The sequence below is a fragment of the Homo sapiens genome, chromosome 4 (assembly GCF_000001405.40).
Source record: "Homo sapiens chromosome 4, GRCh38.p14 Primary Assembly".
NCBI lineage: Eukaryota > Metazoa > Chordata > Mammalia > Primates > Hominidae > Homo > Homo sapiens.
The window spans coordinates 172,114,180-172,132,751 of record NC_000004.12 but is presented as its reverse complement, the minus strand read 5'-3'; the positions used below and the strand labels follow the sequence as shown (position 1 = coordinate 172,132,751).

The window sequence follows — 18,572 nt, the reverse complement described above, 5'->3', positions numbered from 1 at the left end:
GCTGTTTTAAACACTGCATTCATAAAAACACTGAAAGGTTCCAATATGATTCATCTAAAGAATATGGCTTATATCTAGTAAAAACACAAATAGAGTTTTTTGGCTTTGTTTATAAGACAAATTCAACATGAAGTAATAACATATATTTAAGTAATGGACATGGGAGAATAGAAAAACACACATGCAGGCACAGGTACATGCACACGTGCACACTCATACATACCACAATATTTAAGGTCCCTGAAATTAATAAAGTAACCCTATTGAGGAAAATGACAAAGAGCCAAAATTGACAATGTTGAGGCTTAAAGTATTTCCAATCTCAGAGTTGAACTGCTGTTGGAAAAGATGATTTTTTGGTGATAGAAACAAAATGTCATCTAAATCACATTGGAAATACAAAATTCATGTGTTCAAAAAATAAAAATATATGACAAAGATATTATTAAATTGGGTGTTTTCAAATACTACACCACTGATATAAAGAAAATTTAATCACAGTCAAGGAAATGAGATATCAACATTTGGCACTGCACAGACTGTTAGAGATAAAGCAAATCCTGGATAGCTCAAAATTTCAAACTTAATGAAGAAACTGTTTGTGTTTTTGTATAACCAGATGGGCTGAGTTAATCTTGTATGCATTAGGATCAAAATAAAATATCTCTTCCAAGATTTTTGAGTTATTCTCTTAAAATCATCTTTTGTTTTCTTTTTTCTATCCATTTCAAACAAAAAATTTTAAGTGCTCAATAAATACTCTGAAGAATAATATATACTATTTTATAAGAGCTTTGCTCTACAAAACAGGAGAGCTGTCTCATTGATTCTCTGCCATGAGAAGAACAGTACTTATCCATCAGTCATAATATCTGATGTCAATTTTACATGGTTGACCAGTGTTAAAGTAAACATAAATCTATGCATCTAGTGTGTGCAATGAACAGTGTAGTAAGTCAGTGCCCTGGAGAAGCATCAAAAACTCAAACAATCTCTACTCCCAAGGAATTTATCATCTACTCTGTAAGAAAACACACCCAAAGAATCTACAGCTAAATATAAATTACATGCTACCTAGATGAAATCTGAGATTCTGTGGTAAAAATGAAGCAGATTTTGCATTCTGAGAGTCAGGAAAACACTGACAAAAGAGCACAGGAAAGAAGCAGACAGCATGAATTCCAACATGAATAAAAGCATACACACACAAACACATATGTGTGTGTGTGTATATATATGCACACATATATAAAATATATATGTATATATATACATGTATACATATGTAATATATATAAAATATATATGCGTGTGTGTGTGTGTATATATATATATATATATATATTTTAAAGGCATGGTGAAACATGGAAGATGAAAGTGTTTTAAACAAAATGAACCATAAGTAAATACTGTTTTTTCATTTTAAATATGATCCTCATATTTTCTTTCAGTCAGTTGAATTAATCTTTTACTAGTTATAATTATTTACAAAAAGGAAGAGATTTCGTATTTGTTTTAAATGATGCCCCAGTACTTACTTATAATTATTTACACAAAGGAAGAGATTTCTTGTTTGTTTTAAATGATGCCCCAGTACTTACATATATTTTCTTTAAAATTAAATCTTCTTTGACAAAAGCCCAAAGGTTGTAAAAATATGTTTGTTTTTCTAGTGTAATAGAACACTTTTAGGATTGGCTAAATATAACAAATAAAAAAGTTTACTCATCTTCAAGATCTCCAGATAAAATAAGCAATGTTGTTTCAACTTAAAATATTACATGAGGTATACTCATGAAAGGAGTAGATAGAGGGTGCATAGAAATACAGGGATAGTGGCCAAAAACTCACATAGGCTACAAGGATGCCCAATGTGTAATGAAATATCTCTTTATGGAGTTCAATTCCCTCCATTTTTAAAAATTTAATTATATTATATTTCTATTTGAGAATGATTTGTTTTAGACAAAAAGAACCAAATGCATTCATTTCATATTTTCAATTTCTGTTCTATAAAACTGCGGTAATTTTCATGTTAAAAATCATGTGATTAAATTTATTTTAAAACCTAACAGTTTCTAACAACAAATGGCACAATTTACACCTATATTGTCAGTTCATGGGCTGAAAAAACAGATTGTTAATATTATATGTTAACTTTACAAATATTTTCTGTTAAGTTTGTTTTAATTACTTTGAAACCTCACAGTAGAAAGAAAATATTTTACAATTAGAAACAAATATATCATAAATCTTGCTTCTATATATAATTTTTTTGTATACTTAGCACTTACAATTTTTTTCAGTGATCAATTTTATAGATGAGACCAGTATGAACAAAAATATAGGCACTTTTAATTATCTTTTTACAGATTACCTGGAAAATTAAGAAATGATTCTTGGCCTGAATCCTGGAATAAAGTAATTATATTAAACTTAAATTATAAAGGATTCCGTATTTATAAGCCATATTTGAATGCTATGTTACATCAATATTACAAAAGCCTGGAAACCACAACCTTGGACAAAGGCCATCACAATCTTATGCTAAAAAAAAAAAAAAAAAAAAATTCTGTAATGAGATCTACCCAACAACTGCCTGTCCAACCTGACTGGCACCCACCTTGCTATTGATCCTTGTAACCAAGAATAATTACCTCAAAACAATGATGTAATTCTCATTGTTTTCCTTTAAAATCCTCTGTGTTCCCTTACTTTCCTGAACACACACATAGTTTACTTTGCCGTGTGTATTCCCATTGCAGTGCCTATCCTTGAATAAATATAATTTTCTCTTAGAATGTCTTCCTCTTTGTTATTTAGGTTGGGATCATGGTGCCAGAGGCAGGACCAAAATGAGATCCCCTCAGACAAATTGGCAACCCCTGGAATGGAGTGTGGTATCAACTGAGCCCACTGTGTATCTCCTCTTGGATTCTAGGACTCTTACTTTGGCAAGTTCTTTTTTTACTTTATTTGAGACTAAAGACAAATGTTCTTGTGGTTTGAGTATTTTGGATCCTACAGAATCTACATTCTCTCTGTGAGGCATGTCTCTTCTGTCAAATTTACTTTTGGGTCTCCACACATGTTTAATATTTTGTTCGATCTGTATGCCTGGGTTAACATTTTTGTGAGCACTCTGATTTTATTTTGGTTTGGATGCGTGCATCTGTAAATGATTTGGCTGTTTTTTATCTTGCTTGTTTCTGATCATGTTCTGAAAGGAATAAACGCCCAACATTTTAAATGGTGGGCATGATCTTGAGAGATAAATTAAAAAATGAAATAGGATTCTCAAACTTTAAGGCATGCCAAGCTGTTTGGGACTCTAGCCACCAATGTGGAGTTTCCTCATGCATGTTTTAAAATCAATGCCATCATGGGGTTCGTTTGCACTCCCCAAGTTGTTTTTCTCTTAGAACTGAATTAGAAAGTGCAACCAACTATACAGTTAACATGTAGAGCTGTCTAAGTTTTCTGCCTGTATATTTTTTTCTACTTACTCTGAATCTGTTGACGTTTTTATTTGTATTAAGATAATGTAATGCTGCTAATTTCAAAAGCCACTTAGAAGTTTTTCTTAGGGCATTTCAAACCAAAATAAGAGATAAGAGTCTTAAAGGGCTTTCAAATTAATGACTTTACAAATTACAACAGCTCCTTAGCAACCAACAATCTAGACACCTTTGGAAATGTGAACTTAAATTAAGCTAGACTAACAATTGCTTAGCATGATGAAACAATTAATCAAAGGATTAATTCTAAAAGGAAATAACTAGATAAAAGTTTATAAAGGTTAGGCCTTCAAATCAAACAGGCCAAAATCTTGAGCTCAGAGCCATAACATAAGGTATTACTGTTGGGCATAAAGATTACTTTCCCTGCCACATAGGAGAGGGGGAAAAAAGCCTGCAAATATTTTTCTTAAAAGCATCCTGCCCTGCATTGACACTAGTCAAACAACCAGACTGGCAAACAACAAACAAAAAGATTGGTTATTAAAAATCCAAGGCCGCTTGGATGTTTTGTTTTTCTTATAACAAAAGAAAAATAGCCAGTCCTAACTAAAGTGTAAATATTTAGAAATTTAACACTGAAACTCATTAAAAACTCAAAACAGAGGAAAAAAGATAAAATAATTGTTTTAAACCAAATTACTTTACTCAAAATTATGGTCCACAACCTTCATTACATTACCTATCAGGGCAAAATTTTAGCCACGTAAACAGTTCCTGTATTATCAGAAATATAATTCAGCTCTAATTGTCTGTTATAAACTGAAGAGTTTATATTATTATGTTTTACTGTCTCATGATTAAAATTCTAAAAGGAAATCTATAGGATCTTTATTTAAATTTTTATATATATGTTTATGCCTCTTGTATGTTTTATCTACATGGTAAAATCTGGCATAGTCAGCTCAAAACTCCTTAAGGGATCCTATACAGGTTGGTTTAGATAAATGAGTGCTCATATTAAAAAATATAGCAATTAGCCTAAATGCCTTTTAATTTCCATGACTGAAGCATCTTTGATCAGTAAGCTGTTTTAAAATTTGTCAAAATAAAAATTGAAATATCTTCAGAATTGTCACTGTACATTTTTGCCTGAGTTTACTGTTTAGACACTTTTTTTTTCTTTTTTTGAGACGGAATCTTGTTCTGTCGTCCAGGCTGATATGCAATGGCACCATCTCGGTGCACTGCAACCTTCACCCCCAAGTTCAAGCGATTCTCCTGCCTCAGTCTCCAGAGTAGCTGGGATTACAGGCGCCCACCACCATGACCAGCTAGTTTTTGTATTTTTTAAGTAGAGACGGGGTTTTACCATGTTGGTCAGGCTGGCCTCAAACCCCTGACCTCAGGCTATCCACTCACCTTGGCCTCCCGAAGTGCTGGGATTTCAGGCTTGAGCCACCACGCCCGGACCTTAGACACTTTTATGTATGTCCCTGATAAATGTTTTAAAATCATGAAACTATAAACCAAGCCTAAAAACAGGATGATTTTTGTTTGTATAACACTTCGATAAATAAGACCAATTTCATAGTATTGGTTTAATAAAAACAACTATATCTTATGAGTTATTGGCAAAATACCCATATACTTCAGATTCTTACTTAGGTGATCACCTGATAATCATAAGCTAGAAAAAGAGTTATCAGAGAAATAACTTGAAATGATGACTAGCTTAGCCTAATATCTTAGTTTTCATAAGTAATCCAAGTATGATTGTTAAAGCTAAATTAGGTACATGTAAAATAACCTCTGAGTCCCAAGTGGTCTGTGCTGGTGTTGGCAGTGGCTGTGATGGGCCGAATGCACCAGTCCCCAGCCTGCGGCTGTTGCATGTGGGCCTGTGCCTGCTATGGTGGTAGTGGCAGGCTGGATGGGCCCAACCTTGGGCCCCAGTAGCAATACTCAGGTGTCAACAATGGTGGACTGAGCTGGGTAGTTCCCAGGCTCTCAGATGGAGTGGCCGCGTACTGAGGGGTAGAGCCAGGCTAGGAAAGCCTGACTTCAGGCCCCTACATGCTGTGAACAGGCACTGGCTGTAGTAGGCAGGCTCAAGGTAATCTCCAGGCCCACATCAGAATGCTTGAGTAGGGGTGGCAGTGGCTGCACTGCGGCCCTGCTATTGGGGAGAATGGGGTTACTTTCAGAAGCAGCAGTCATATGCAGGTGACTGGGGAGTATTACTTCAGTCACATTTCAGCCCTGGCTGGGGCAGGTAAGCTTGTCCTTGAGGCATGTGAAAATGTTTGGCGGCTTCCTTGAGGCACGTGAAAATGTGTGGTGGCTTCCTGCTGAGGACAGCGGGGTCATTGCCAACGGCTCACATTTTAGCCCTGGAGGTAGCAGCCAGCCAGCTATGGTGGTGGCTGTGGGTAGGGAATGTCAATGAGGTTTCAGAAATATGGAGATGCAGGGACTGTTGGGACCCCAGTTAGGGTACCTTCTGGTGGGGGCTGGGCTTTCAATATGGCTGTACCTGCTTTGGGCTGAGATTGTGTGAAACCCAGTGTGAGCTCCCTCTCTTGAGCAATGCCTTTGTGTGGTCTCCAAGCAGCCTCCTATGTTAGTCTCAGGGACTCCGAGGGTCTAGGGGCTTTTCTATGGCTATGATGTGAGTCTCTGGTGGGAATGTGAACCACTGGGGTCACTCACTTACCCTTTGCCCACACTGGGGAGCCGCTCCAGGCTGCCAGCTGATCCTTGCTGAGCAAGCTGCACTGTGTTCCTCGTGTCCCTTACACTTCAGGTGTTTCCTGTCACTTCTCTATTGAACGCCGGTGTTCTGTATTAGTTGATCTACTCAGAGTGTGATTACCTGTTTGCTATTTTGGTTCTACTTTGTGGAGGAGGCAAGTACCGGATGCCTGTAGTCAGCCATCTTGAATCGCTAATTGAAGTTTGAAAGTCTAAAGTTATGTTATTTTAAATTAAGTGATAGATACTCATTAAATGTCTAAGTCACTTCCAAATAAGAAAAAAATGCTAAAACAAAAATTTCTAAATGTAAGCATACATTTGTTATTGACTTCTTAAGTTTTATAGAAAAACTATATATATTTGAGTCTATTAATTCACATAATTATGTTACAGGGAAGCATGTTTCTAAAAAATTATAAAATGGTTCTTATCTAGATAATACTGATAAGTGACACAGTGCAAAATTTATTGCTTCCTAGGTTTTCACTAGAAAAGAAGTTTTTAAGTGTTAAAAATTCTAATGTGTATATATAATACTGTATAGAAAGTGACCCAAAAAGATGTTTTTGATAAGAGAAAGTATAAGAAGGAAATAAAAATATGTTCTTTACTGAACTAAAGAATAATTTTGTCTAAATTCAGAGGTTATTAAAAGTTTGTATCAAAATATGGACTTAGAAGGAAGTAAGTAGAAACATGATGGAGAGGAACCAGTTAGTAGAACAAAGACATATGAAGAAAGTTATACATATGAAAATGCATTTTTGGTAAGGTAGATTAAAAACAAAAAAATAATAATTTTTTTATGAGAAAGAATCTTATGTGGTAAATTTTTGTCCTAAAGTCAAATGACTGGTTATGTAAGAAAGAGGAAGTGTAGGACAAAGCTGAAGTTCTGCTCATGTCATGGAATGTCTGAATAAGTGATGGAAGGTTTGTGAAAGATGAATTTATGATGGAAATTTGTGTGTGATCAGGTTGGCTATAATTGTAAGAGAATTATTTGTGTGTCTTTCTAAAGACTGAGCTTTGGTATTAAAAATACACTGATACAAAACTAACAATTTGGTTCCTTGTGTTCAAACAATAAGGTTTCTTGAAGTGTTTGCTCTTAGTAAAATTTGCTAGGTTTTGGTTTAATTCCGAAATATGTTTAAAAAAAATTTCAACCATTCAACCATCTTCTAAACTGCAGCTTCTTCCTGTTTTACAGTTTCTATTTGTGCCATATTTCTTCCTGAGATTTATTTAATTTTTCTGGATTTAGATTGAAAATTCTGTCTTTATTTAGATTATTTCATTTCTTGAGGTAGATTTTTCCTCTTGAAGCTTCTCAAGTTTCTATCTCAGAAGTTCAACTTTTGCTTTATCTAACTTTATGTGATTTGCAGGTCATACATCATTGCCTTTTGTTCTTCCTCTTTCTCCCCTTGAGAAGGTACATCTTTTTGCTTGGCTGTGCTCATAACTCTTTCCTTCAACTTTTTCATCAGCTCTCATAATTTTTTCTTCGGTCTTAACTCTGCTGTTATGGCCTGATGCTGAAATGTTCTTTCTTGAAGGCCTAAAAAAGCAAAGTTTTCCTCAAGCATAAATTCATTCTGTGCTCTTGGCATTTCTTGATGTGTCTAATTTTTTTTTTCATGTAACCAGGAAACTTCCCATGCTGTTACTAAGAGCCATGTATTCCCTTGCTCAAGGTCCTAATTTTCTGTTTACATTCCTGTGTATTATGTTGTACAATCATAACCTTGTACACTGTCTTACTACATCTGATTAAATTTAAGTACTAGGTTTACTTTCCAGTTTACCTAAAAGAGTTTTCTTTAAGGAGAAGCAATCACTCTTCAGTAGATTTGTTTTTTTCTTTTTTGGTAACAGGCCTACGAAACAAGGATTTCATGTTTTATCAAGATAATTTCCTTTGTTGCCTTTATTAGATTTTTTGATAACTTAGGAAAGCTGAACTTTGAAAAAGTTAAATTTGTTTTATTTTGCTTTTACAGTCATGTACTTTATTTATTTTGATTATCACCCTGGTTAAAGAAATACTATTATTTCACAGTTACCTGCAGTCCTGTTTTGATGAAGTGTTTTGAACCTTTTGGCATCTTTGATGAGCTTCCTCAGTATCAAAATTCTAAGTCTTTTTGACCTAGAACTAACTTTGGGATTTTTCAGCTGGGCCTTGAGAGAGCCTCAAAAAATGGAACTCTTGTCCTATAGAGATATTAGATCATTACATTAATTTGGTGAATTATGTAGGAAACATTGTCAAATGGTAAGTGATGCTAGTTATTCTTTCAATTACATTTATGGGTATGTTATTGATATGGATAATCCAAAATTGCATAAAAGGTTTAGAAACCTAATATGGCATCAGACATAATTCTGGTTATTATGTTGTATATTACAAAAATAACCAAATTTTCTTGTCAATTGCTGATTATAACAAACTTCCATCAGATTTTTAACTATGGCTCATCTGTCTCTGTCATCTACAGTTTTGATTTTTCTCTAAAAGCACTTCCTTCAGATGCATGTAAAAGACTAAGAAGTACTCTTAAGTGTAGGTTTCTAGTAACTTTAAGGTCAAAGGATGACATAAAAAATTCTTAGAACTCTAAAAATTTCTGAAATGATGAACCTGACCAATTTGAGAAACTTCCAAACAATATCAAGCTGAACAAAAATTAATTACAGAGATTAATTAACTGATGAAGATAAAAATTTTATGAGGCCAGGCACAGTGGCTCATGCCTGTAATCCCAGCACTTTGGGAGGCTGAGGTGGGTGGATCACGAGGTCAAGAGATCAAGACCATCCTGGCCAACATGGTGAAACCCATCTCTACTAAAAATACAAAAATTAGCTGGGCATGGTGGCACACGTCTGTAATCCCAGCTACTTGGGAGGCTGAGGCAGGAGAATCACTAGAACCCTGGAGATGGAGGTTGCAGTGAGCCGAGATTGTGCCACTGCACTCCAGCCTGGCGACAGAGTGAGACTCCATCTCAAAAAAAAAAAAAAAAAAAATTATGACTTTTTTGAAACTATTGATTCTTAACTTAAATGTTTTATTTTCCAAATTTAAGAAAACTTTTTCTTTTAAGCTATCGTAGTTAATACAGCAATTTGGTAAAGTCTGTTTTTGTGAATAAAGGTGGAAACATTTACTTTTTCTCTCTATTTGATCCCTCTGAAATTTGGAAACTATGTGTGGGTATTCTTGTGGTAATATGTTTATTTGTATAAGTTTAATAAAATTTTGCTGTCTCTTTAGAAAATGATACAATCGGAAGCATTAATTATAAAACAAAGCCTTAACTGGAATATCTTTTTTGAGAACTAGCATAGAATGCCCAGCTTCAAGGGTTCCAAACCTTACTGTCAGTGAATAAAAATTGTCACTTCCTGACAGTCCTAGAAACTTCAAGACTGAAGGTAAAATCTGAAATCTGCCTTGGTTTGGCTTCCAAGCCTGGAAAGATTTTTCCATCTGAGATTCTTGTCTGATCAATGTAAAGAGAAAAATGTTTTGTTTCTAAAGAAAAGCTATAAAACACCTGTTATAAGACTTTAGCCCTAGGCATTGTTTTAGAGTTCTTATTACCTACTATAAACTGACTAGATCCTGAATTCTTCTGGATTTCTCCAGTCCAACCTTTTTATGTTAGAATAGGCACATAGCCAGACATGAGCAGGTAAGGGTTCCCCCCAGGAAAGAGATCTTAGAAATGCTGCCCATTGATAGAATCCTTGGAGATACTGACAGTCAGCAAAAAGAGAACCATGGCCACAGTGGCTGCACTTGGCCTTGTGGCTGGGCTCTTCTGACCCAGAAGGGACTTAGTAAGCCCTAACCGGAGATAACTGAGTTAGGGGCTTTTCCTCACTAGTGAGCATGTGTACTCCTCTAATAACTTGCCTAGGAATAGTCTTTTGCTCGTTATAAACTCCATTCCCCTCCCATTAACACTTCCGTAATATTACTAAAAATGGGAACTGGTCTGTACTGAAGCTGTATAAGCTGAAACCAGATGAATTCTAAGAGGTAAGTTTCGTGCCTGATGTATGGGTCACACAGAAAGTTCACCAAACTGCCTGGTGCCATAACCAGAAACATTCAAACTGCAAACTAGAATGATAAGTTGATAGCTGCATGCTGTAGATAGCTTTTTTCCAAGACATTGGAACAAGACTCCATATCATAATGAGACTCTTTCCCCTTTTAACGCCTACTTTTTACACTTGGCAGGATAATGGTGTAATTGAAATTTCACATTCAGTAGCTTCTGCTGGTAACTTGACTGAACCTGAGCTATGAGATGCTTTAGTCTACCTAGTGGGTGAGTATGGCAATATTTCTCATACAGCCATTGCTCACGCTCTGCTCGAATTCAGCCTAGTCATGGGATACTAGATGATAAAATTGCTCTATGTAATCTATTGGTTAAACAAGGAAATGTCTTTGCTATTACTAACATTACATGCTGTATCTGGACAAATCCCTCAGGGAAAGGTGAGGTCTATATACAAAAAAAGTAAGAAAATAGGCCACGTGGTTAAAAAAAAAAAAGTGTCACCTAATTTCCCATGATTATTTGATTTATTTAATTGGTTTCCTTTAAGCCCAGGTTTATAGCTCAAACTATTATGTAAACTGAGATTATCATATCACTATTAATTTTTCTTTGTATTTTTCTTTTTAATTTTTGTTCTTGTTACTCATTAATTTTTTCCAGAGGTACAACCCCTATGAGAGTAATGTTGGCCTAGCACTTTGAGATGATAATCAATACCTGTGGAACAGACATATTGAACTTACCATGGACCCAGGTAGACCTAGCCTGAGAACCACTACCTCCATACCTCCTTTGAAATTGCTCAAATGTAGATAAGAAAGTTTTGACACTGACTTACTCATCAATTACTGTCTCTGATGTGGGACCAGACCAGACCAACCAGGACAGGTTCATCTAGGCACCAAGGGACAATCAAAACTTAAATACAGGAAATTGATCATCAATGCTTGTGGGTTGTGGGTAAAGATCTTGATCAAAAGGAGGAAATGTCTGAAAGCTGTAAGAATCAAAATGGAGTCACTTGTGTTAAAACCCTGACAAATAGAGCTGGGGAAGGCCATGAAGTGAGGGTTCTTATATATGAATGCCTGATAACAAAAACTATCACAGAAGACTGCAAAAACCACAATCTTGTGCAAATGTAATTACAAACTTACACACACACACACACACACACACACACACACACACACAATGCTTCTTGAGAACATCTGCCAAGCAACTGCCTGTCCAAACTTGGACTTGTGCCACCCTTGTTATTAATCTTTGTCGCCAAGTATAATTATCTCAAAATAATTATGTAATTCTCATTTTTTCTTTAAAATGCTTTGTCTTCTTTTACCTTCCTGAATATGCACATAGTTTACTATGGCCTGTGTATTCCCATTGCAATGCCGATTCTCAAATACATACCATTTTCTTTTAGAGAGTCTCCCTCTCTGTTATTAAGGTTGACACAATCAACCTAAACACAGAAGGCTGAAGGGCTTAGAGGACTTTGCCTAGAGGAAAAGGTGCTGCAATGTTCATTAGCCCATTTTCAGTTTTATAGGCAAACTAGGCCTGCCTATCACCGAGACCAAAAACTCTCCAACTTAGTTAGGCATATCTCACCCTTCTGCTATTGGTTCAGGTTTCGACAAAGCCTCCTCTTAAAGGACACCTTATCCTCTCTGCTCTAGGACCCTAAACATTGGCAACTCTGACAGGAAAGTTTCAGAATTCTATGTTCTGTCCATTATCATTCTCTTTCTATGGAAAACTCAATTCCCCACCCCACCCCCCGACTTTATTTTTACCTTGTTCATACTCTTGTGTGTTAGGGTGAATCACGGTCCCCAAAAATATCCATGTCCTAGGACCCAGAACCTATCAATATGTTACTTTACATGGAAAAAGAACTTTGCAGATGTGGTCAAGTCAAGGATATGGGGATGAAGAGATGATTCTGAATTATCCAAGGGTCCTTATAAAAGAAAGTTATATGAGAAAAAAAAGGGATAAAGGCTATGTGATATGAGGCCCTGAGTAAAAGAATGAGGGCAGCCACTAATGTTGGAAAAGGCAGGGAACAGGTACCACCTTCAAAATTCCAGAAGGAATCTGTTCTGCTGGCACCTTAGTTTTAATCCCATAAGATTCATTTTAAACTTCTGACCCCCAGCACTTGAGAGGAAAAATTTGTGTTGTTTGAAGCTCCTAAGTTTGTGATAGTTTGTTACAGCAACAATTGGAAACTAATAAATCTTTAACATGTTCTTGGAAACTATGAAAGAAGGGTATTTGAAATAGACCCTATTATGGCTCTATTATGACTTACACCATTGAGATTCTGGTGTACAGAACTGGGAAAAAGTAGTCAAGTGGGAAGAAATCCTCAATACGTTGTCTTCATAATGCTTGTTTCTTACTCTGTATGCTACTTATTAAATTTTACATATATTAGTCTGCTCAATTTTTACAAAATGTGTTGAGCAGGTAGGGAAGAAACTCTTGAGCTCTTTTTACAGCTATAGAAAATGAGGTGCACAATGTTTAAGTCATGTAGCTTAAATCATACAGAAAATCAGTTCAAAACTCAAATTCTTGGGCTCCTCACCAGACCTTACTGAATGAGAATCTTTGTAGATTTTTATGCACATTGAAGTTTGTGATGCATGAGTCCAGAACAGAGGTTGGCATGCAGCTTGCAGGTTGATTTTGTAAATAAAGATTTGATAGAACATGGCCATGTCCTTTCATTTCATTGTTTATGACTGTTTTTGTTACAATGACTGAGTTGAATCAAGAGACTTTATGGTCTGCAAAACTTAAAACATTACTCTCTGATCCTGCACAGCAAAAGTTTGCTGACCTCTGGTTAGAACACAGCACAGTCTAAAATGAGGTGTTAAATGGATGATTCTGTGATTTTTTTCAGAATGTTATAACGTGGCCAAGAAAATAGCTGTAAAATATCCAACACATTAGCCAAACTGCTTCTACCTGAATATAACCCTCTCTCCTGTTTCTGAATGTACTAGAGTGCATTGCATGAAAACCCATAGGAATTCAGAACTAAAAGTTGATAATAACCAAATAATGAGTCCATTCAGTTTTTTCAAATGTGTTAGAATAAGTGGCATTTCTGTTACTATGATTAGTGCACTGAAATAAATCTGAAATGCAATGTTAGAGTGAGATACAACTTTTTAATGGAGAAAAATACAGCTTTTTAAGCTTTAAACTGATATGAGCCATGAATGCGCAATAAAAATGATGCCACAAATTATTTTAGCCCTTATATAAATGCATTGCAAATTACATTTTCTCTAGCATTATCAAGAAATACAATAGTGTAATATTGAAACCAATATTCACACACTGCTTACACAACCCACTGTATGCTTTCATAACACGATTTTTATTAAGACCATGTACTCAACATGGAAATAACTTTATTGTGAATACGAGATTTGATGAGATAGTTGCAAAAAAAAAAGGCTTTATCTATGTATCTGTGTATCTCACACATACAGGAAATTACTGTTCAAGTGAAAGTCTAAAAGTCTGGAAAAAAGCTAGAAGCATTGTCTATTTCTCATTTCAGGAGTAGCTTCAGTTCACAAAAAAAGAAAAAAAAAATCACTGCTTATTAGAAATTTACAAATCAAGGAAAGCAGCTCTCCTCCACCCACCTTTCTTTTTTTTCTTTTATTCCTTTTTGTTTTTTGTTTGTTTGTTTTTTGGTTTTTTTTTTTCTTTTTTGTTTTGAGACAGAGTCTTGCTCTATCTCCCATGCTGGGGTGCAGTGGCACAATCTCGGCTCACTGCAACTTCCACCTCCAGAGTTCAAGCAATTCTCATGCCTCAGCCTCCTGAGTAGCTGGGACTACAGGCATATGCCACCATGCCCAACTAATTTTTGTATTTTTAGTAGAGACGGGGTTTCACCATGTTGGTAAGGCTTGTCTTGAACTCCTGACCTCAAGTAATCCACCCGCCTTGGCCTCCCCAAATGCTGGAATTACAGGTGTGAGCCACTGCACCGGGCCCCTCCTTTCTTAGAGCTAGTTTTATCTTAGTTTAAATTTTCTTTTTGAATTTCCTATAATTATCTAATGCTTTATTTGTTAATACTATGAAACTTTATGTACCTCTTAACCAAGTATTGATGACAGTAACCTACAGCCTTTAGGGAAAACACTTGAAATGGCTTTTTAAAAATTTTATATTTCAAATTAAAAATTCCAAGTATATAAAATAAAGCTATAGTAAAATAAAGCCCCATGTATTCATCACTCAACTTTTATCAACATTTTTCATTCATCTACCACCTATACCGCTGTCTACTCTCCACATCTCAATCACTACTATAACTACTCTATTTACAGTTGTTTTTCCTGAAGGTAAAATATCACATATTCTAATGCACAAAGGTTAGCTTTACAGTTTTGAAAAACAGATACACCCAGATAACCCATAACCCTAGGGTGTCATAGAAGAATTTTTTTCTCACCAGAATGTTTCTGTATTTTCATTCTAGTCAATTTTCACCATTCCCCCTTAAATCTCCAGAATTGGCAGTTGTTCTGATTTTGTTTTTTTCATTTTAGTTTAGTTTTCCTATTTGGAAACTTTTTTAATAATGGAAGCCTACAATTTCGTCTCTTTTTATTCTAATTTCTTTTGGTCTCAACAATGTTGTTGAGATTCATTCATGTTGATGCATTTAATTTCTGGCTTTTCATTGCTCAGTTCCATTCTAGTGCACGAATAGGCCACAATTTGTTTTTACGTCCTCCTGTTGATGGACATTTGAGTTATTTCAGAATAAAATTTTTGAAACCAAAAATTTGCATTGATTATATTCAGGAATTATTCTGTAAAGCTGACAAAATAAGGAACAATAATAAAGTAAAATAAATTCATGGCATTCTGAAACAAACTATATTATAAAACAAACGTAGATGTCCTGAGACTTCTCATCATCATAGACTCCTATCTAATAGGGGAAGAGTTAGTTTTAAGTATTAAATGAGTTAATACACATAAAGCCTTTATAAGCGTGCCTGTCACATAATAAGGACTCAGTGTTTCATTGTTTTTATTATTTGTAATAGGAAAATATAATGAAAACATTCTAAAATGACTCAATTAGAATAACATTTTAGACAATATGTGATTACCATAGCATATAATACGGTCAGTTTAATTCACTGTCATTTTCAGCTGGAAGATAAAACACGACTGAAAAATAGCTATTGCAGGTAAGATATCTGTGTGGATGTGAGAGTTAGAATTACGTTGGTGTGATAGTTTATTACGTTGTTTTTGCTCTCATGAATTTTGCTTTAAAGTTAAAAATTTACTCAATTTTTATTATTCTGTCTGTAATAATGGTTTAGTGGCAGTGCACTAATAGAAATAATTTTGCTAGAACAAATAAACTATATAATACATTATACACACACATGCATCTATGCTAATTTAATTTAGAATAATATAAACAGATTAATCCACTGGAAAATTTTTTAAAAAGCAATAAAGGTACTGCTTTAAAATTGTGTTGTATTTCTTTATTTTTAAATTATTTCAGCAAAATAAGACAAAAAGCTTATATTTGCTTCATTGGTATAAACCCAAAATCAAAGTAAGAAAATCACATTAAATTTTCTAAATATTTTCACTTTTAACTTTATTTAGAATTAAAAACTGTAATGCACTTTGCTGTTTTAAAAAGTGTGCTTTGAAATAGCATTGTAACTGGGAGTTATTTTCAGAATAATTTTTGTATTTTCATATGTGATTGGAGACCTTGTTTTTTACTTCATTTCTGATCCTTACCATTCTCAAGCTCTCAGAGGAATAATACAGAGAATATCAATGTAGTTAAAAATCTTAGCCTGGGGCAGTAGCCTATGCCTGTAATCCCAGCACTTCGGGAAGGTGAGGTGGGTGGATCACTGAGACGAGGAGTTTGAGACCAGCCTGGATAACAGTCATCTAAAAATCATCTTGGGATAATAGATAATAAAAGTCATCTTGGGATAACAGTCATCTAAAAATCTCAGATTTTCACACATGGACTGCTGTTTTGCCAAGTTTCCTTACATTGTAGGATTTTTCAAAAATTTATTACAGAGCAATATGTTCTTTGATATTAACTAAGTTATTTTCTTTTAATTTTGGATGATAATTTGATCCTTTGAAAACCTGATAAATATTGATGAGATTTCTAACACATTAGCTGTTTGTTTACAGCATTTTTTTACCTAAAAATTCACGGAATATACTTTTATATGATTATCAAATTATAAGATAATCGTAGAATAAATCATAAAATATCCATGGAAAAATCACATATAATACCTACATGTTTAGCATTTATATTCTCTCTAGGTAGACATCAACTCATTTTTAAAAATAGGTTTAAAACCTATTGTATCTAGGTAGATTCAACTCATTTTTTTAATTAATACTGTCATATAATTTGTATATTTTATTCAATTTTGTCTGTAAGAGCTAAATATTTAGAGGCTTATCTGAAATACTGTATTTGGCATTGCTTTAAAGCAATGTTCAAGAAAACATTTCACAGAAAGAAAATATTAATTAGGTATTAATATTCCTTATAAGACATTATTATTCCTCACTGTAATTTCTTATTTTCTTAGTATTCAAACTTATTTTATTTATATTATAAAATGTTCTAAGATATTTACTTCAGGCTTACTGTTCCACGATCCATTTGTCTTTTCTGCCATTTTGAAATGCCACATAAATTCCATGTCATTCCCGTAATTACTCAAAGATTAATAATAGTGGCTCTGTTCTAACAATTGAAAGTCTATTTTGGAGTTATGAAATGGAAATAATCAAGACCTGGAAACATATTTCTATTTACATACATCATTAGTTTCTTATTATCTCCTTGTGAAACCAATATTTTGGAATTCTTAAACCATATTGCACTAAAAAAGTTTGAGTTTGAGAAAAATGGAAGAAGATTAAGATGTGTGCTTTCTTTGCTCTTTACAATCTATCAATTTTACATCATCTTCACTAAGCTATTTTATATGTACTTCCAACTTAAAACAATTTCTCAAAATTATTTCAATAACTTTTTGCTCTATACCTTCCTGAAGCAATTCTAAAAGGTTCCTTCAGAATGTTTAAATACCCTATTTTATATCTTATTAACAGCTGTCATCAGTATTACACTTAGAAAGAGAACTATAATTGATGGGGGAAAATACTGGACAAGGCCTTTGGTATTCAATGTGAGACATCAAAGATTTTAAATGTTTCTATGTAACATAAAGTGGTAACTTTGTGTTGATCCTCAAAAGGAAGAAGAATAAATGATAGTAGAAAGGAAGGATATAGAGCTCTTAAGAATAGTTCACAATGAAATCTCATTATGCAAAGCATGTATACCTGTAAGCCATTAGTAAAGTTATTAAGTTCACAAACAGGTTGATGGGAATGGCTTGTGTGCTTTTCTTTTTTTAGCAGGGAGGGGATGTTTGGGAGTGGGATTGAGCCACTTAAACAAAAGAAGCATGACTTTTTGAAGGTTTTGAGACAGTCCCTCGACTGTCGTATGTAATAAAATTTGGAGGTTCGAGCAAAGTTTATCTCTATCTCTAGCAGGCAGGTCTCATGTAACACCTCAGTTTTATACTCGTTGTATAATAAAAAGAATCATATATCTAAACAGTAAAGTTGTCCTGTTTATTTGTGTTTGAACTTCCAAGGAAATTATCTGAGCATTCATTTTTTCTTTTAAAAACAATTACCATTAATCCTAATTAAATTGTCAATCTCTGGGCCTCACAGTGCCGACGTATAACTTGTTCTGACATTTTTCTTGTGATACCCTAAAGCTCTGGGTTCTTTATTGTTCCAATGATTGAAGCATGATACAGTAGAGCTTGCTGAGTTTCTGATTAGCAGTATTGTCAAAGCTGTAAGTTGACAACTTGTTCAATCCCTTTATTTCTATAGATATATACCTGCTGGCATGGTTCAGATAAATTAAGGCAAGTAGATTTTGATGATGAGGAACGAATGACTTATACCCTTCTGATGACAGCATTTTCTTATTAGGAAGGATGATTATATTTCCAAATTGACTCCCAATTTTTCTTTCTCCAGAAGAGCCCTGACCATAACTACTTACGGTTTTGTAACCTTGCATAAAACAGCATCTTTTCTAACAAAAATGCCTGTTTTAAATTTGACTTTCATTTATAAACAAGCTTATTAGTCAAAGGAATGTGGCTCTTTC

The 18,572-nt window shown here is 34.4% G+C and overlaps 1 protein-coding gene and 1 long non-coding RNA gene across 4 annotated transcripts in view; one reads left to right on the top strand and one right to left on the bottom strand.

Annotated features, from left to right (window-relative positions):
* The window catches only part of GALNTL6 (polypeptide N-acetylgalactosaminyltransferase like 6), a 1,228,156-nt gene that overhangs the window by 908,808 nt on the left and 300,776 nt on the right, over positions 1-18,572 (bottom strand). The window lies entirely within an intron of this gene.
* LOC124900811 (uncharacterized) lies at positions 10,136-13,027 on the top strand. Its single transcript, XR_007058363.1, has 2 exons — positions 10,136-10,564; positions 10,961-13,027. It is a non-coding gene; the product is annotated as an uncharacterized LOC124900811 (long non-coding RNA).